The 19,191-nt window shown below is 35.5% G+C and overlaps 2 protein-coding genes and 1 pseudogene across 3 annotated transcripts in view; 1 reads left to right on the top strand and 2 right to left on the bottom strand.

Moving 5' to 3' along the window:
* MMP26 (matrix metallopeptidase 26) overlaps nucleotides 1-19,191 on the top strand; it is a 287,646-nt gene that overhangs the window by 225,404 nt on the left and 43,051 nt on the right. The gene's annotated exons all lie outside the window — the stretch shown is intronic.
* On the bottom strand, nucleotides 7,151-8,107 carry OR51A3P (olfactory receptor family 51 subfamily A member 3 pseudogene; annotated as a pseudogene).
* On the bottom strand, nucleotides 12,644-17,418 carry OR51A4 (olfactory receptor family 51 subfamily A member 4). Its single transcript, NM_001005329.2, has 2 exons — nucleotides 17,358-17,418; nucleotides 12,644-16,975 (listed from the first exon to the last, which is right to left on the bottom strand). Exon 2 carries the CDS (start codon nucleotides 16,911-16,913, stop codon nucleotides 15,972-15,974), a length of 942 nt encoding a protein of 313 aa, NP_001005329.1. The 5' UTR covers nucleotides 16,914-16,975; nucleotides 17,358-17,418; the 3' UTR covers nucleotides 12,644-15,971.

A 19,191-nucleotide genomic window follows, 5' to 3' on the forward strand; every position in this document is an offset into this window, starting at 1 on the left:
ATCAGATTCTAAAGATAATTGAGTCTCTGGAGTACTACTTGGTAAATCAGTCTAATTTGGTGTAATAGACGTAAAGATGTGCTTCTCAGATCCCACTTGAAGAAACCATTTGTTGCCTAGCTATAAAGAGTGTGGGTAGCTGACGAATGCTTCAAGGTATACCTTGGATATCTGGCTGAAGCCACACTCTTCTTGGGATGACCTAATAGTAAAAGAACAAAGTAATAGTGTCAGTGCTTACCCCTTTCTTGCCAATGGGGGAAACTCCTTTTTCGAGCCATCTTTGCTCATGAGCTCCCATTTGGGCTGGCAGAAAATTTACCATCTCCGAATCATGGTCTAATGGCTCCATCTACCCAATCCTCATTCTGCCCCTTCTACTGCACACATATAAAGACTTTGCCTTACTATGTCTTTGCTCAAAACAAAATAGACGTCTTTAATCAAAGTATTGAAAAGTTGGATTACCCCAAAATTTAGATTTAATATTTTTAGCAAATTGAAATTATTTGGTAACTCAAGGCTTGTTTACTATACTTGCACAGGGATCTAGATTGCTTAACTTTTAGAGGAGATTTTTATACTCAAAAATAGTTTTTGATTAAAACTCTTTTACTGGTTAACAAATATACTAAAACCATTTCTCAATTAGTAAATACTATATAAATAATATTTACATACATACTTTTATTTCTTTTTGCAGCGTTGTTCTCAAATGTGTCTAATTGTTAATTTTAAATCATTTTAATTATTAAAGAGTAGTTGAAGTATTTTAAGAGTCTAAGTATAGATACAACTAAAGATAATTTATAAAGCTAAAGCTGAAATTAATACTATTGTATTAATTTCTACTCATAGTAGAAAGATAGATAAATGTATATTTGCAAGAGAGGAAGAGAGAGAGAGACAGAGAATATTGCAAGCTTGAATTTTTTGAGGAAGATAAATGTTCGATATCAGGAATTCCATCAACTAATATGATATTCTATGACTGGATGAGTATGAAGAGCAAAGTGAGACAGGGTTCTGGAAGGGTTATCCATGGGGAGCTATATAAAATCCCTTTACAGATTACCTGGGTGATCCATTGGCATTTAGTTTCTGAATTGGTAAACATCCCACTTAGTATTGTCCTGCCTCATATGCAGGTAGTGCCTCTTTTTTAGAAACACTGTAACCTGTGAATAATAGTTGACTGGAGGGCTAGAGATTTGCTCATGGCTGGAGAGTAAGCAGAAGAAGAGGAACAAAGAGCCAAAAACAAAAGACAAAACACGCAAACATATAATATGCATTCAAGTTAAATGACCTATGTGTTTTATATATAGAGAGATTTATATTATGAATTCATTAATTAAAGTATATTAAAACAATAAATAAATTAATAAGAATTGGACAAGTTGAGGTAGCAAGGGCATGTAACACTTAACATGCTATTCTTTTAAAATAAGAATATAGGTTGAAGGAGAGTAGCTATTAGCAAGGAAATTGAAAAAGTAGCAAAAATACTGAAGGTGCAGCAAGGTCTCAAAAAACAGGAAGATATGAAATTTAGTTTTGGGTCACTTGCATTAAGTTTTGATAGAGAGAAATGGCATTTTTCTTAGAAAGGAGAATGCAATAGGTTGGTAGCATACATATAGGAGGCTTTATGTCTGGTGGCAAATAATAGGAATAATTCTCATTTTACTGCCTTTTAAGGAGGAAGCATGAGGATAGGGAGTATAGTAGGGAGACTAAAGAAGCTAGCACACGTTCGGTTCTTTTCTACTCCTTATCATCTTGCTTCCTTGATCCCTCAGAAAAATGAACGTAGCAGCTCAACAAGAATGCAAAGTAACGATATTTTAAGTCATATTTGATGATCAGCTGAAATAGCACTTACTACAAACAACTCCCGATAGAGTTGTTCCATTTTGAACAACTTCTGGATGGTCTCCATCAGTGCTCAGCAACAGGCAGGCACAGACACACAGGTGGAGGTCTACACTGATTCATAATTCGCAGTTTGTGAAACTGACGATTAAACTAAATAATCATTCTGGTCTGTGTTGTATAAACGGCAGCTCCAAATTATGTATCAATTGCCCCATCAAGAGATGGAACGTATTTCTCTTCCTTTGAATCTGAGCTTGTTCCATTCATGTATAACTAATGGATGCAGTGGAAACGACTCTTTATTTGTTGCAGCTATAGTCCTTAACAAGACTAGAAGGTTCTATCCTGTTTCCTGGTATATGCTCTCTTGTTCTTGAAAACAGTTTTTCTTGGAAACCAGCTAACATGCTGATAGAAGCCTAAGCTACATGGAGAGGCATATGTAGGCGCTTAGCTAAACTCAGCAAGCGTCAGCTACCAGCTTTGGGAATGAACGATATTCAAAGTGTATCCCCTGTCCCAGTGAAGATGCCCAGTTGGTACTATGTGGAGAATAGACAAGACATCCCTGCTGAGCTCTGCACAAATTACACAGCTATGATCAGATATATAATTGTTGTTGTTTTGGATCACTTAGTTTTGGAGTGGTTCGCTCTCCAGCTATTTCTGAACATGGTTCCTGGTCAAGAAACCTAATTCTCTTTGTAGTCGAATGAAGTCCCCAAAGTCACTTTCTCAATTTCTCTGACCTTTTGGCATTACTTACTACTCTTCTCTGTCAAAATACACATCATTTTCACTAGTTCCTCTCAAGATCTTTGTTAAGTATATTTATTCATGGCATTATAAAAATAAAAGTTCATTGCCTTGTTTACAATCTAAGACAAACATTGGCATTGAAGCATGTGTTGGACACAGATAAAACAAACAATGACATGAATGAGTTATGAGAAAACCTTATTTCTCTACGATGTTAAATTGTATGTATGGTTTTCTAGAAGTGTTAGAGAAAGCCGAAAATGCCTCTGTGGAATATCGTAGGAAAATATTTAAAAGTATTGGGAGAATAATAAAATTTGGAGTAATTATTATAAACTGAGGATTAAAGGTGACAATGTGTGTGTATTTGTGTGTGTGGTTTTTGTGACTCTATATATGTTATCTCAATGTTTGCTAAGTGTTCACTCATTTATTTATTCAAAATTATCTGTGTTCATACTATGGGCTACTCGATGTGCTCGCAACCGGTATGAAGTAGTAAAAAGGCGGACAATCACTAGTCTCCTGGGATTCATATTCTAACATCAAATAATTGTTTAAGGTCCTATAAACACAGGTTATATATGCAAAAACAACACCTATGACTCTGGGATTACAAGGCAATTTACACGGTATGTAAAATGATTAAGAAAGACAGAAAGATTGATTTTTTTTTTTAACCATTACCCTGTTATTTTTTTTGTTTTTTTTTTTGTTTGTTTTTGTTTTTTGTTTGTTTTGTTTTTTTTATTTTTATTTTTATTATACTTTAAGTTTTAGGTTACATGTGCACATTGTGCAGGTTAGTTACATATGTATACATGTGCCGTGCTGGTGCGCTGCACCCACTAACTCGTCATCTAGCATTAGGTATATCTCCCAATGCTATTCCTCCCCCCTCCCCCCACCCCACCACAGTCCCCAGAGTGTGATATTCCCCTTCCTGTGTCCATGTGATCTCATTGTTCAATTCCCACCTATAAGTGAGAATATGCAGTGTTTGGTTTTTTATTCTTGCGATAGTTTACTGAGAATGATGATTTCCAATTTCATCCATGTCCCTACAAAGGACGTGAACTCATCATTTTTTATGGCTGCATAGTATTCCATGGTGTATATGTGCCACATTTTCTTAATCCAGTCTATCATTGTTGGACATTTGGCTTGGTTCCAAGTCTTTGCTATTGTGAATAATGCCGCAATAAACATACGTGTGCATGTGTCTTTATAGCAGCATGATTTATAGTCCTTTGGCTATATACCCAGTAATGGGATGGCTGGGTCAAATGGTATTTCTAGTTCTAGATCCCTGAGGAATCGCCACACTGACTTCCACAATGGTTGAACTAGTTTACAGTCCCACCAACAGTGTAAAAGTGTTCCTGTTTCTCCACATCCTCTCCAGCACCTGTTGTTTCCTGACTCTTTAATGATTGCCATTCTAACTGGTGTGAGATGGTATCTCATAGTGGTTTTGATTTGAATTTCTCTGATGGCCAGTGATGATGAGCATTTTTTCATGTGTTTTTTGGCTGCATAAATGTCTTCTTTTGAGAAGTGTCTGTTCATGTCCTTCGCCCACTTTTTGATGGGGGTTGTTTGTTTTTTTCTTGTAAATTTGTTTGAGTTCATTGTAGATTCTGGATATTAGCCCTTTGTCAGATGAGTAGGTTGCAAAAATTTTCTCCCATGTTGTAGGTTGCCTGTTCACTCTGATGGTAGTTTCTTTTGCTGTGCAGAAGCTCTTTATTTTAATTAGATCCCATTTGTCAATTTTGTCTTTTGTTGCCATTGCTTTTGGTGTTTTGGACATGAAGTCCTTGCCCATGCCTATGTCCTGAATGGTAATGCCTAGGTTTTCTTCTAGGGTTTTTATGGTTTTAGGTCTAACGTTTAAATCTTTAATCCATCTTGAATTGATTTTTGTATAAGGTGTATGGAAGGGATCCAGTTTGAGCTTTCTACATATGGCTAGCCAGTTTTCCCAGCACCATTTATTAAATAGGGAATCCTTTCCCCATTGCTTGTTTTTCTCAGGTTTGTCAAAGATCAGATAGTTGTAGGTATGCGGCGTTATTTCTGAGGGCTCCGTTCTGTTCCATTGATCTATATCTCTGTTTTGTTACCAGTACCATGCTGTTTTGGTTACTGTAGCCTTGTAGTATAGTTTGAAGTCAGGTAGTGTGATGCCTCCAGCTTTGTTCTTTTGGCTTAGGATTGACTTGGCAATGTGGGCTCTTTTTTGGTTCCATATGAACTTTAAAGTATTTTTTTCCAATTCTGTGAAAAAAGTCATTGGTAGCTTGATGGGGATGGCATTGAATCTGTAAACTACCTTGGGCAGTATGGCCGTTTTCACGATATTGATTCTTCCTACCCATGAGCATGGAATGTTCTTCCATTTGTTTGTATCCTCTTTTATTTCATTGAGCAGTGGTTTGTAGTTCTCCTTGAAGAGGTCCTTCACATCCCTTGTAAGTTGGATTCCTAGGTATTTTATTCTCTTTGAAGCAATTGCGAATGGGAGTTCACTCATGATTTGGCTCTCTGTTTGTCTGTTGTTGATGTATAAGAATGCTTGTGATTTTTGCACATTGATTTTGTATCCTGAGACTTTGCTGAAGTTGCTTATCAGCTTAAGGAGATTTTGGGCTGAGACAATGGGGTTTTCTAGATATACAATCATGTCATCTGCAAACAGGGACAATTTGACTTCCTCTTTTCCTAATTGAATACCCTTTATTTCCTTCTCCTGCCTAATTGCCCTTGCCAGAACTTCCAACACTATGTTGAATAGGAGTGGTGAGAGAGGGCATCCCTGTCTTGTGCCAGTTTTCAAAGGGAATGCTTCCAGTTTTTGCCCATTCAGTATGATATTGGCTGTGGGTTTGTCATAGATAGCTCTTATCATTTTGAAATACGTCCCATCAATACCTAATTTATTGAGAGTTTTTAGCATGAAGAGTTGTTGAATTTTGTCAAAGGCTTTTTCTGCATCTATTGAGATAATCATGTGATTTTTGTCTTTGGCTCTGTTTATATGCTGGATTACATTTATTGATTTGCGTATATTGAACCAGCCTTGCATCCCAGGGATGAAGCCCACTTGATCATGGTGGATAAGCTTTTTGATGTGCTGCTGGATTCGGTTTGCCAGTATTTTATTGAGGATTTTTGCATCAATGTTCATCAAGGATATTGGTCTAAAATTCTCTTTTTTGGTTGTGTCTCTGCCTGGCTTTGGTATCAGAATGATGCTGGCCTCATAAAATGAGTTAGGGAGGATTCCTTCTTTTTCTATTGATTGGAATAGTTTCAGAAGGAATGGTACCAGTTCCTCCTTGTACCTCTGGTAGAATTCGGCTGTGAATCCATCTGGTCCTGGACTCTTTTTGGTTGGTAAACTATTGATTATTGCCACAATTTCAGCTCCTGTTATTGATCTATTCAGAGATTCAACTTCTTCCTGGTTTAGTCTTGGGAGAGTGTATGTGTCGAGGAATTTATCCATTTCTTCTAGATTTTCTAGTTTATTTGCGTAGAGGTGTTTGTAGTATTCTCTGATGGTAGTTTGTATTTCTGTAGGATTGGTGGTGATATCCCCTTTATCATTTTTTATTGTGTCTATTTAATTCTTGAAAGATTGATATTTAAGAGAAGTTTAAAAGTCTATTTAGGCTGGAAATGGTCAGGGAAGGCTTCATAGTGAAAATGCAGTCTTACTTAGATAAAAGATTGAGGAAAATAGTTAGATCTTCACTGATTATTTTTAAATTATAGAAAAGATAATCTCTAGAGAGTGGGTATAATTAGCTGATTCTAAGAGCTGGGCGTAAAATATAAATGCAGAAAAGGTTTAAAAAGCAATAGCCAGAGCTAAGAATGTACCCATGAGAAGATAAATGTATTTTTTTGTAATATGGGCCACTAAAATAAACAATGGAGATATGGTCATTTGGGGTTCTTTAAAAATATACCCTTTGTAATAATGTAATTGACTAGTATGACTCCAGAATAATATAGCTTTTGCAGTTTGAATTTACATCCATCCAAATATGCAGTTAATATACATATTTTAAAATTTTTAAGTCTGTGCAAGGTGACCTCGAATTAGATCAAACATTGCGTCATCAACAAAACTTGAAGAAATAATTTAACTCTTCTCTTACTAGGCATTTTTTTGCTACGGATATAAAGAAAAGCAGGAGAATACTTTTTTAAAGGTATTTTCTCTTATTATTGTATTGGCATATATTTTAAAAAGCAGGAAGCAGATGCTTCCAGTCTTCCTTGAAGGCTTAGATTATTGGATGTACAATCTTAGAATCAGAGAGCTGAAGTACTTTTCACAAACTCACAGGGGCATAAGGGCACTTAGGGTACTGAATATCAAAAGTCATTCATTCTGTGAACTCCATCTGACTATAAAATACAAGACCACTCTAGTAAAGTATACTTTCTCCCAGTGAAACATTCAACGTCTATTTAGTTGCCACTTATACATTCATTCCCTTTCTCATTCCTTTGATCAACTTACTTTTGGACAAAGTTTCCCCACAACCTTTTCTCGGATTTGGTGGGTCTTCACACAGTACACGATGGGATTCAACAGGGGTGGCACCAGCAGAAAAATATCAGCCATGAGGACGTGGATCATAGGAGACACATCCCTGGCAAACTGGTGGAGCATGGCAGCACTCAGCGTGGGCACATAGAAGATAAGCACAGCACAGATGTGAGAGATGCACGTGTTGAGGGCCTTGAACTGCTGTCTGGGGGTAGCAATTCCCAGTACAGCCCTTAAAATCATAATTTAGGAGAAGGTAATAAACACCAAGTCCAGCATAGTAGAAAGTCCTGCACAGAGTCCGTAGACAACATTGACTGTGTTGTCAGAACACATCAGCTTCATGACATCCTGGTGGAGACAATAGGAGTGGGAGAGCAGGTTTTGATGACAATATCTCAGCCTTTGCAAGAGAAAGGGCAGTGGAAGGATCAAAAGAACATTCTTGGAAGTCAGAAGAACCCCTGTTTTGATGGCTCTGGGACTAGTTAAGATAGTGCTGTATCTCAAAGGACTGTGGATTGCCACATACCAGTCAAATGCCATTACAGACAGTACAGAGGCTTCACTGACTGTAAACAGATGGATAAAAAATTCCTAGGCAAAGCATGGAGCTGCATGAATTTCATGGACATCAAATAGGAATAGTCCCAAAGTGATGGGTAAGGAAGACAGAGACAGCCCTAGGTCAGAGATGGAGAGCATGGAAAGCAAATAATACATAGGTTCATGGAGGCTTTGCTCTGTCTTGATAAAAAAGAGGACGGTAAAATTACCCATCCAAGAAAGAAGGTACACAGATAAGAAAGGAATGGATATCCAGGTGCGACTTTTCTCCAGTCCAGTGATCCCGATAAGGAGGAATCTAAGGACTTCCATTTTTGTGTCATTAAGAGGAGACATGACACATAGGAAGATGCTTTACTAGGTGCTTACCTCAGTGCAGTTGGAAATTTCTTAAGTGAACTTATGGTAGAAGATATTGCTTTCTGTTACATTATAGATACTAAGAGTAGATACTTCTTAATGTCAAACATCTACGTTTCTACTGTCAGTTCAGACTGAAAAAAAAAAAAAGAAAACAAAAAGAAAGCCAAACATAAAAGCAAATGGGAAGAATATGAGTTGCTTCCTCACCCAGGAGTTTGTTGGAACTTGTTAAATTATCAAACAACTTAGGCTTTGCGCACTTAACAATTCAAGACAATCCTTTGACTACATGAAAATACTCATGTCTTAATCTCATAAAACCAGTTATCTTATTTCAATTTTATAAAAACTTCTTGAGCAAGGAAAGCAAAATTTTGAAGGGAACAGCACAGTTTACTCTGGATTAGGAGGGAAATTCATGAATTATCCCAAACCTATATTCATACCAGCATATATGTATAGGATGAACATTTGAAGTAATGGCAGAACTGGAAGTTCATAATTACATGATCTTAGGGTTTAAAAATAAAAAAACCTTTAGAAAATATGTAGTCTTACCCTCCTTCCTGTATAGAAGGTAGTCTAAATCACGCTGAATGAGTAGTCATCAACAAATACATCCTAATTTCTCCCCAGTATTAGCATATTAACTAATACCTAAAGCCATCTACTTCATGGTGGAATACTCAGATTAGTTTTCTTCCTTGAATTGAGTTGATATATGTTTCTTAAATTTGTTAATCTTATTTTCTCTTCAGGCACGTAATCTAGTCCCATTCACACAAAATAGCTTCCTTATTATTTTCCTGATTTATTATTTGATGTCTATCTTCTCCCTTAACTATTATATAAGGGGAGAGAATCATGTTTACACTGTTCACTGTTGCATTTTTAACACCTAGCATAGTAAATGGAAATTAGTTGTAGCTCCAAAATTATTTAATGGAATATCATTTACCAAAGTTAAAGATGGTAATAATTTCCCCCATTCTTCAGGCTACACTTCACTTATTTCATCAAATAAAATGTGTCTGATTTTTACCTCTTGGTTTGTCTTATTTTAGAGTCCTCATTCAGTGCTCCTCAGACGGCAAAATGTATTAGCCCTTCTTAATATCTCAGAACACAGTTCCTCGGCTGTTTTCCTAAAAGAGTGGCTATCTTTTCCAAAGTTGTTATCTGTATAGGTTGTATTTTCCATTATTGTAATCATTTAGGAATTATTAACTCTCTATTTAAACATTCATGCAATTTTCCTCATTTTTAATTACCTGTCAATGTTGGATTCAGACTTTTCTAAGAATATGGACAGTATGGGAAAACCTTGGCTCCAAGGAAAGTATAATTTCTTAGTGCTTATGGGGTCTATTGGCTGCTTTGTTGAGAGACTTTTTCCTTCTTCACAACCTCTCAATGTGCCCAAATTTCTATCCCAGGACCTTGCTTCCTTGGATATCTATAGCCTATTAAGAATAAATATTTGGAACTTAAGAGAAAGGCCAAGCCACAGATAATGACATAAGATATATCACTTATGAATTTACACATCCTCTGAAACTTCTTAAGCCGTATACCTTGCTTTCTTTACTGTACTAGCTACAGCTAAAATAGTCTTATGTCAATAGACTGTGGCCATTTGTGTTCTGGCATTTGTCTCACCATTGTCTTAAAGATTGCATTATTCTTTAGAGGTAGTCACTATTGAGATTTAATTAAAATATATAGGACAAACACCCCCAAATGTAATTATTATATTATATATTATTATATTTAACTTGTAGATAATAATATGCTATTTTGATTAATGATCTATATAGGTTTTCTCACTTAGGTGATTATTTTATCCATTTTATACATAAAACAACACAAAATCTTAGAGAGGTGCAGTGACTTAAGGTAGAATCATGTGATAATACAGATATACATCCTTCTCACACGTATCATACAGACTGGGCATGCCTGGATGGACATTCCTAATACTTCCCCAGACACATACTGCCCACCAAAGTGTACACTCTGTCTCTCCTTGAAAATTCTACAATACGCTTAATCTCCACGACATCTTATTTTTCTTGTTAATTTAACATTTAGTCCATCCTTTCAGAATCCAAACAGAAGATGTAATGCAAATTTTGTCAGACATTTTGAAAAAGTAGGATTTTGTCTTACCATTTTAAATCAGTGTGATACTTTGCTATAAAATCAGTGATAATAAAGTGATCAGAAGTAGGAAAGAATCCTTTAAGCTCCTCTTTTATGCTTGTAGGCACTGTTTTATGAAGCTCTAAGAGCCCCTTGGGATGCCTAACAGCAGGGGCTGTTTGAAAGAATAACACAATACTTGATGGAAAAGCTTCTAAACGTTGACTCAAGGGACACAAATCTAGGGCCAAACTCATAATGCAGACTTTGGCAGAGAAAACTGCATGTGATCAGAAGTTGGGGGTCATATTCAAACCCAGCCCCTGTTCATTAGCTCTTGACCTTGGTTCATTTTCCCCTAGCTATAATTAGCCAGTATATCCAGAGGCAGATCAGCTAGTTGTTTTAGCGTCCCAAGTTCCAAAAGAGATCAGATCATTAATAGTGCATACTAATTTCCCTCCAATTGGAAATTATACTCCCCTGTCTATAGGCTTATTGACCATTTAAATCTCCTCTTTTGAAGTATCTGTTCAAAGCTTTTGTTCTCTTTCTGTTGGATTATATACCTTTTCCACATTTATTTAAATAAAGAATGATTTTTTAATATACATAGGATAAGCCATTTGCTAGCTAAGCATAGCATATTTATTCTTTCACTCTATCACTTGCCTCTTTAGTCCCTTAGTCAATCCTGCTTATCCAATCAATAGAATCAGTCATGATATTTTATGTACATTTACACTACCTTTACTTTGTAGGCAGAAGATTCTCTTTGTAACAAGAATGAACAAACCATGGGCCAGCAACCACATATAGCCAGCCTGTCTTTTCAGTGTAAATCATATCCAATTTACCTACTAGAATGCACTTATAATCTAATTAGATATGTGGAAATTAGAAAGAGACAAATTCATTATGGATTTTCACTTTTCACCAGAAATCTTTGTAAGTCTTCCTACCTCTGTAAATACACAAACACATACGGGTTCTTATACAGTTGGTGATAATGAATTGCTTTAGTACTGTGTTTCTTAAACTTTAATGTGCAAATAAATTATCTGAAGAGTTTGTTAAAATGAATATTTTGATTCAGTAGATTTTGAATGGGATGTAAATCACTATATTTTCAATAAGTTCCAAGGTGATTCTTATGCTGGTCATCCAAGACCATCATGCTTGAGGCATGCTGCTTGACTATCATGCTACATTTTCTATTAGATGGAAGCAAATCTGTCAATAATGTTTAATCTGTTTGGGAGGTTATTCATTTTTATAAAAAGGAAAAAATAGAAATAAGCAAACTGTTTGCTGCAGGTTCTTTTTTTTAAAGTAAAACCTGCTAGGTGCCGTGGCTCACGCTTGTAATCCCAGCACTTTGGGAGGCCGAGGCAGGTGGATCATGAGGTCAGGAGATCGAGACCATCCTGGCTAACATGGTGAAACCCCATCTCTACTAAAAATACAAAAAATTAGCCAGGCGTGGTGGCGCATGCCTGTAGTCCCAGCTACTCAGGAGACTGAGGCAGGAGAATCACTTGAACCCGGGAGGCAGAGGTTGCAGTGAGTCAAGATCGTGCCACTGTGCTCTGCTCCAGCCTGGGCAGCAGAATGAGAGTCCATCTCAAAAAAAAAAAAAAAAAAAAAGGAAGTAAAACCCTACTCAGACTGCTGCCAAGAAGAACATGCCTGATAAAAATTGTCTTTCCTAAATTAAGTTGACTAAGGACTGCTTCTGTTGTGTTAAAATGACAAAGTAGTGAGTCTTACATTAAAAAAAGTTTTAATTTTCTTTTTCAATTATACTACATTTGTTTGTTTGTTTATTATTTATTTATTTATATCCTGGATTCTCTTCAGGAGTTCTTGGATGTCTCTTTATCTTCTATTCTTGTTACTTTCTCTCCTATCTTATTGGGCCAGCTAGACCTGAATCAAAATTACAGGAGAGTGGTAATGTAGGGTATCCTTGTTTGTCTTGAATTTTGAGAGAATGTTTTAATATTTTATCATTGACCTTTAGGCTTACTGCTTTTTATTGAGAAAGGGGTTTAAGTTTTACTTTCTAAAATTAGAGTAGTTATCTTCTATTCCTTGGTTTCTAAAAATCTTTTAAAATAATGATTGGCTATTATATTTTATTGAACTATTTTTGCTTTGGTTGCAATAAGATATTTTCATCTTGCTTTTGTGTTTAAGTGTGTTTTTAAGTTCTGATTATTTTAAGAATGTTAATGATCTCACAAATAACAAAAGGAGAAATTTTTCTGGCTTATCTACATGAAAAACATTCAGATATGGGCAAACCCATGGGTACACACACATAGACCCACACAAATATATTATACCTTTTTAATGTGACATGTATGGGGACTCAAATTCTCAAGCAAGAATAACACATTCAATTAAATGGATTGGGTTGATTGTACACAATTCAATATATTAAAGAATATTTTTTCATGGCATTGAAAATTCATTGGCCCTAGTAAAACTAAGATGCTTAGGTTGTACAGACAAGTAGTTGTCTACTTTAAAAATTACAGTATTGTTCTCATGTAACTCCTATATCATACAGGCATATTCTCTCCACCTAATTCACATATTCTCTGCTTGGACTAAATGATGCTCCCCTTCGTCCCTTATAATTTTGTAGTGTTCCATCCCTTACAATGTTTTCCCACAAACCTCTCACAAATGACCAATGTCCAATAGAAAAACAAAATGAAACACAGCGAAACAATAAGAAGACTTACTAGAATCTTTTTAAAAAGTATTTGAACTTGCCTTTTGGTAAGGTTTACATCCTTTGCATTCATCTTTGTACACTTTCATGTGTGATTAATAAGTCTTTTAACATCTCTCAAGTGAAGTCTTTCAGTTTTCTCAGTTTTTCACTGGTTTCCTTTCTGAGGAACTTCTCTGGTATCAGATTGCCCCTAGGTGCTGTGTAGGTGAGCTCAAGGTAATTTGTTTAACCATGGGGCTTAATCATTTGTTATTTGATAGTTACATTTAGACTAAGGTTTTTTTAATGCTTGGCACCACTGACATTTTGTGCTAGATAATTCTTTTGGGTAAGGGCTATCCTGTACATTAAAGAATGGTTAGTAGCGTCTCCGGCCTCTAATCAGTGGAAGTCAGTGACACACCCACACCCCCAGGTTGCAACAACCGAAGATGTCCCCAGACATTGCCAAATGTCTCTTGGAGGTAACATTGCTGCCAGTTGAGAACCACTGTTTAAGGAGCCCCAGAGTTGAGATTTTAATCCTCCAAAAACTACATTCTTCATTTCAGAAATATGTGAAAATCATTATGCTGACCATAAATCTTCACCTCCCCCATTGAGATTTATGTATCTTTATTTTATTTTTCATTTCATTTTATTAAGACTGTCAAAAACCCCTAAAATACAGATGATCTTTGATACTCTTTTATGTGACATCTATGTACAATATCCTGAAAGAATAAGATGCTATTAAAGCCACCTAATTACTCCTCATCTTTTTAGTGGAAATGAAGTCTTCATATTGGGCTGCCTATCCGCACACTGGGAGAATATGAGCTTCTATTTCTTTCAATTAATAAAATATGTCAACTACTGCTTGGTTGTACTACAACCCCAAACCCATATCTGTATTTGTAAGGTTTTGGAAAAGGTAGATAGATACAGTTATGCACCTCAAACATAGGAACAGTTCTTGCCCTGATCTGATGATAGGATTTTCTACACTAGGATAGGTTTGTGAAAACATACGTAGTCCTGAATTTAAAAACTAAAATGTATTCAAGATAATACTATCCTGGAGCATCAGAGATTAGGTTTGAACCCCAGCTTTTGACTTCCTCTCTGTGTGAATTTCATTAAATCAAACTCTCAGAGCCTCAATCTCTTCAACTAAAATAAATAGGAAAAAACCTTTTATAAAAAGCTGGGTCATTGTTGAGAGCAAATTTTTAAAATGCCTAAAAAGACCTGGAAGCATATCCTGCATAAATTAGAGGTTTACAAACAATGTTTGTATCTATAAAGATTTTCCATTAATTGTGAAGTACGGTCAGTTGTGGGCTGATTATTATTTTTTAAGCATTTGACATTCCTGGAAGGTGTTTCTTGATTCACCTGAGGTTAGAAGTGTAGGAGACTTGAACTGACGTGGTTGATAAAAATGACTTGATTCAATGGGTAGGTAAAATGAAAAGGCTAAAATGATTTTCGCAATATGCAAGATTTTGAGGTCATATTAGGAAGGAAAGTTGGACAATTTTTCAGCCACAAATCCAAGGCAATAAATTTGTCTTTAACATCATATCTTTTTTTTTTCCTGTTTTAAAAATCATTAGCATCAATGATATGCCTATATTTGAAATAGACAATTTAAAAAACTTGTATCCTACCTTGAAGAAATATTACTGAACTCCTCAGTGAACATCTTTTTCAACAAACATGGTCTTATTTTTAAATTCATTCATTAGCAATTATTTATTAAAATCTACTCTGCATCAGAAGTGTCCTAGACATTAGGCAGGAAAAAATAAGAAAATAGATAGGTCTCTTCAATCACTTATAGTACACTTTATTCAAGAAGAAGAAAGAAATGAAATAAGGATAAAATATATCTGTAATTGCAAATATTAAGTATAATAAAGAATAAAGAATAAACCAGCAATGAAAGAGACAAAAGATGAAAGAATAAACCCGCAATGGAAGAGATAAAAGAGAAGATCATAATACAAACTAGGGCTAGGTAATCTATGAGGAAATTAAGCCAAAATTTAAAGAAAAAAATAGAAATGCATTATACAAAATTGGAGTCAAGAGCATTTTAACAAAAGAGATCTGATGTGAAAACTCAAGAAAGCAAAGAGCTCTGTAAATTCAAAAACTGTTCAGTAGGTTGATGTGGCTGGAGATTAATGAGTATCTGACGACGTTGAGTAAGTAGAAAGGGTCCAGGCCATGTAGGGTCTTAGAATATGTTCCTTATTGATTTAACTGTATTTCTAACAAAGGAAGAGTTCAAATTTAAAAGAGACACTTACACATTCAATTTGCCTATAGATTACTCTTGCATTTCATTGTGAATCAATTATAAGGCAGGGAACTTAGCAATATTTTATGAGAGAAATGCTGGTGACTGCAGACTACTGGTGGGGCAAGAGTGAAAGAGGCAGGATTGGACTGAAAAACTATCTATTGGGTACTATGCTCACTACCCGGGTCCCATATAACCATGTAAAAATCCAGCACATGTATCCCAATATGGAATATAAATGATTAAATTAAAAAAATGGTTGTATTCTAAGATGATTAAAATGGATAAAGAGACAGCTAATTTAGGTCTAGCATTAAAAGAACTTGGTATAAGAGATTGAATGTAGATAATGAGAAATCCAACTTCTGTCAGAGCTGTAAAAATTATCATTTTTCTGTCTTGGTTGTAATTTGTTGCTTGTATCGGAGATGCTATCATAAGACATTTATTTTTATTCTGCTTAACTGAAATGGGGACATAAGGCAACGTACTTCCTGTTTATAGTTCTATTCTCATTCGCAGTATCCAGAGTGAATAAAATAACTCTATGACAACAACAAAAATATGTGTTGATAATTCTTGGTGTCAAATATTAGGTTTCTCAAATTTACCTTAAATATCTTACCAGACATTTCCAGGTTTTCTGTCACATATGACTGTTAAATCTTCCGTTGACACAATTTTGCTACAACTCTCACTCTAATCTGTTTAGTTTTTACACAATAAACAATTGGGTTCGTCAGTGGAGGTACAAGTAGGAGAACATTTGCCATGAGAACATTAATGAGGGGAGAGACATGCCGGGCAAAGCGGTGGACAACGGCCAGGTTGATGATGGGCAGGTAGAAGATGATCACTGCACAGATGTGTGAAACACAAGTATTGAGAGCCTTAAGCTGCTCCTTTTTGGATGCAATTCCCAGTACAGTCTTGAGGATCAGGGTGTAAGACACAGCAATGAGAATAAAGTCTACCATAAGGCAGAGTGCTCCAAAAAAGCCATAGATAACATCAATTCTGTTGTCAGAACAGGCCAACTTCATGACATCCTGGTGGAGACAGTAGGAATGGGATAATTGGTTTTTCTTGCAATATCTCAAGTTTCTTAAAGTGAAAGGGAAGGGAAGAACCAGGAGCATGCTCTTAAAGGAGAATACTATCCCTATTTGGGCAACTCTGACAGTTGTCAGGATTGAGGTGTATCTCAGAGGGTTGTGGATGGCTAGGAATCTATCAAATGACATGATCAGGAGGACTGAGGACTCCAGTACTGAGAATCCATGAATGAAGAATTCCTGGGCAAAGCAGGCATTGGATGAAATTTCAGGAGCATTGAACAGGAAGATGCTTAACACAGTGGGCAGAGATGATAAAGACAAACCCAAGTCTGACATAGCCAACATGGAAAGAAAATAGTACATGGGCTCATGCAAGGAGGGCTCTGTCTTGATGATAAAAAGAATGGTGCCATTTCCTAGAATAGCAATAAGATACATGCTGCAGATGGGGATAGAGATCCAGATGTGTGCATATTCTAGCCCTGGCATCCCAACCAAGAAGAAGGTGGTGATTTCAACATATGATGTGTTGATAATGGACATGATTCATTCATAGGGCTCTGCTATGAAAAATACAGATGCTTGTGTTGGTAAAATAGGAATATCTGTAAATTTAGTAGAAAAAAAGCAGTGTTAAAATTTGTGGCTTCTTTCAGCTTTCTTTTGAGAGAACAAAGCATTTATGTGGCTATCATCATGAAGAGAGATGGTTGGTTGCTGCTTTGGACTATAATCTGTCGTATAATACATTGGAAAAATTATTTCTGGACATGTTATTTCTATAGAGAATCCAGATTTAAATTTTGTATTTAGTTACGCATCTGATTTCATTTTTTCCTGTAAAATATTAGTAAACGCTGGTCAATTAACTGGAATCTTCTATTTCTTGCTCTCAGATCTATGTTCTGACCTTCAGTTCTATGTGATTAATTGCCAGTAATAATAGTCAAATGAAAGCTAAATAAATGAGAATACCTGGGTACTTACCAGTAAGTGGATATGTTTGTAAGCACTTTTGATAAAAGCTAAATAATTCTGATATACAAACCCAAGGTATTGTTGAACTTGTCCACCACAAAAGACTCCTCTTATATATAAGGGCTTGTCTTATTCTTTCTACCTAACCACTGGCTCTGGGATTACTGAGTTCTCTGGGGATTGCAGCAAGGCTAGATTTTGTCTGACAATAAGAATAAACATTTGCAGATGCAGTAAATCTACAGAGATGGTTGATACCAAGGAAACAAACATCTAGGTCTGTAATAAGGAACAATTTTGTTGGAGAGGTCTTTAATTGCCTGGTATTAGATAGACATGGTAAATTATCTGCAAAACTAGGATACTTCTGATGGATAGTTGGCTTGTGTATTACTCGTCTGCACAAGGCCAAGTCTAAGCAGAGATGCTGTGAGTTGATTCTGTATTCAAGGAAGTGTTGCAGGACAAACATCCTAGGACATAATGTGTTATCCTAGATTTTATTCCTGAATCCTGGATCCATCTCCCCAGACCCATTAGACATCACTAATTAAATATCCTTAAAACCAACTTGTCCAACTTATACAAGTTTTTCTCCCTTACCAAATCTTCCCTGTTTAAGGGACCTACTTCGGTAATAAGACTTTATGTTTAAGAATCTACAAGCCAAAAATCTGAGCTTCTTTGTCTTACACACAATAATGACCAATATTTCTTAGAAAATTAAATTGTTTTACTTACTGAGTTCCATTACCAGATGATGATTTGGAATCTTGAAATTTTTTAAATAATATTATCAAGTTATATCATTATCTTCATTTTACTGATGAAGAAAATTTTTCTCAAGATGAAGTCTTCTGTTTAAGATCACAGAAGTGTTGTAGGGTAGAGGTAAGATAGCAACTCAGGTCTGTTATATTACTGATAATTAAGTATATAGCACGCTATCAGGTTTGCCAAGCAATATTTAAGGAGTTATGAACTGAATGTACAGCTGGAATTGTGTATTATTTTTAGCATTCTAAACTGACTACTAGTTGATTCTAGTGGATAAGATGAAACATTTGGTCCTACAGTTGCAAATCTTTGCAACAGTGAAAATCATGCTAGTATAGAGATCCTAAGGAAAAGGCTCTTGAGGAGAAAAAAACTATATACTCACCTCTATTAGTAAATAGTCATTGGAAGGATTTCAATATTTACTTGACTAAAGAGTGGAAATATAAGAATGTATTACCATAACCTTCCCATAAATTCTTTTAAACTATGTGATGATTACTTCTTAGTTGCCAATTGCCTACTGTTTGCATCCCCAATGAAAATAAGCCCCACTTGGTTATGTTGTCAAGAATTCTCTCCTTCCACTGTTGCTTTTTCTCTTAGCTTTCTCCAGGTACTTCTTATTAAAGAGATAGCAGAAAGTTTGTGTATGTTTGTGTGTGTGAAAATTGCTTTGACAAGGACATGTGCTCATTGGCTCAATGTTCATGTGTTCATTGGCTCAATGTTCAACTTTGTGGACCAAATCAATTTGTTTCATGACAATTTAAAGTAAGCTACAGTAAGACAGGCAGTGCATTACTATCATGGTGGATGGCATATAGTAGCTTATTAAATACTTGTTGAATGAATAAATGATTGTATTTTTTAAACTGGCATCTTTTTTATCTTTATTATTATTTTTCCCATTGTGCTACGTTTGCTATGAAATAAAAATATGGGTTTTAGCAATTGTAAAAACTATTCTCAAGGATTTTTACATTGTAATCTAGTATTAATTTTCAACTTAATTTACATAATATGTTTTAAAAGTGTTATTTATGTACAAAGAATATTAATATAC

Source organism: Homo sapiens, chromosome 11 (assembly GCF_000001405.40).
Source record: "Homo sapiens chromosome 11, GRCh38.p14 Primary Assembly".
NCBI lineage: Eukaryota > Metazoa > Chordata > Mammalia > Primates > Hominidae > Homo > Homo sapiens.

What these genes read in the sequence shown, in the direction of transcription:
- OR51A4 (NM_001005329.2), bottom strand. Translation starts at nt 16,913, where the DNA reads ATGTCCATTATCAACACATCATATGTTGAAATCACCACCTTCTTCTTG.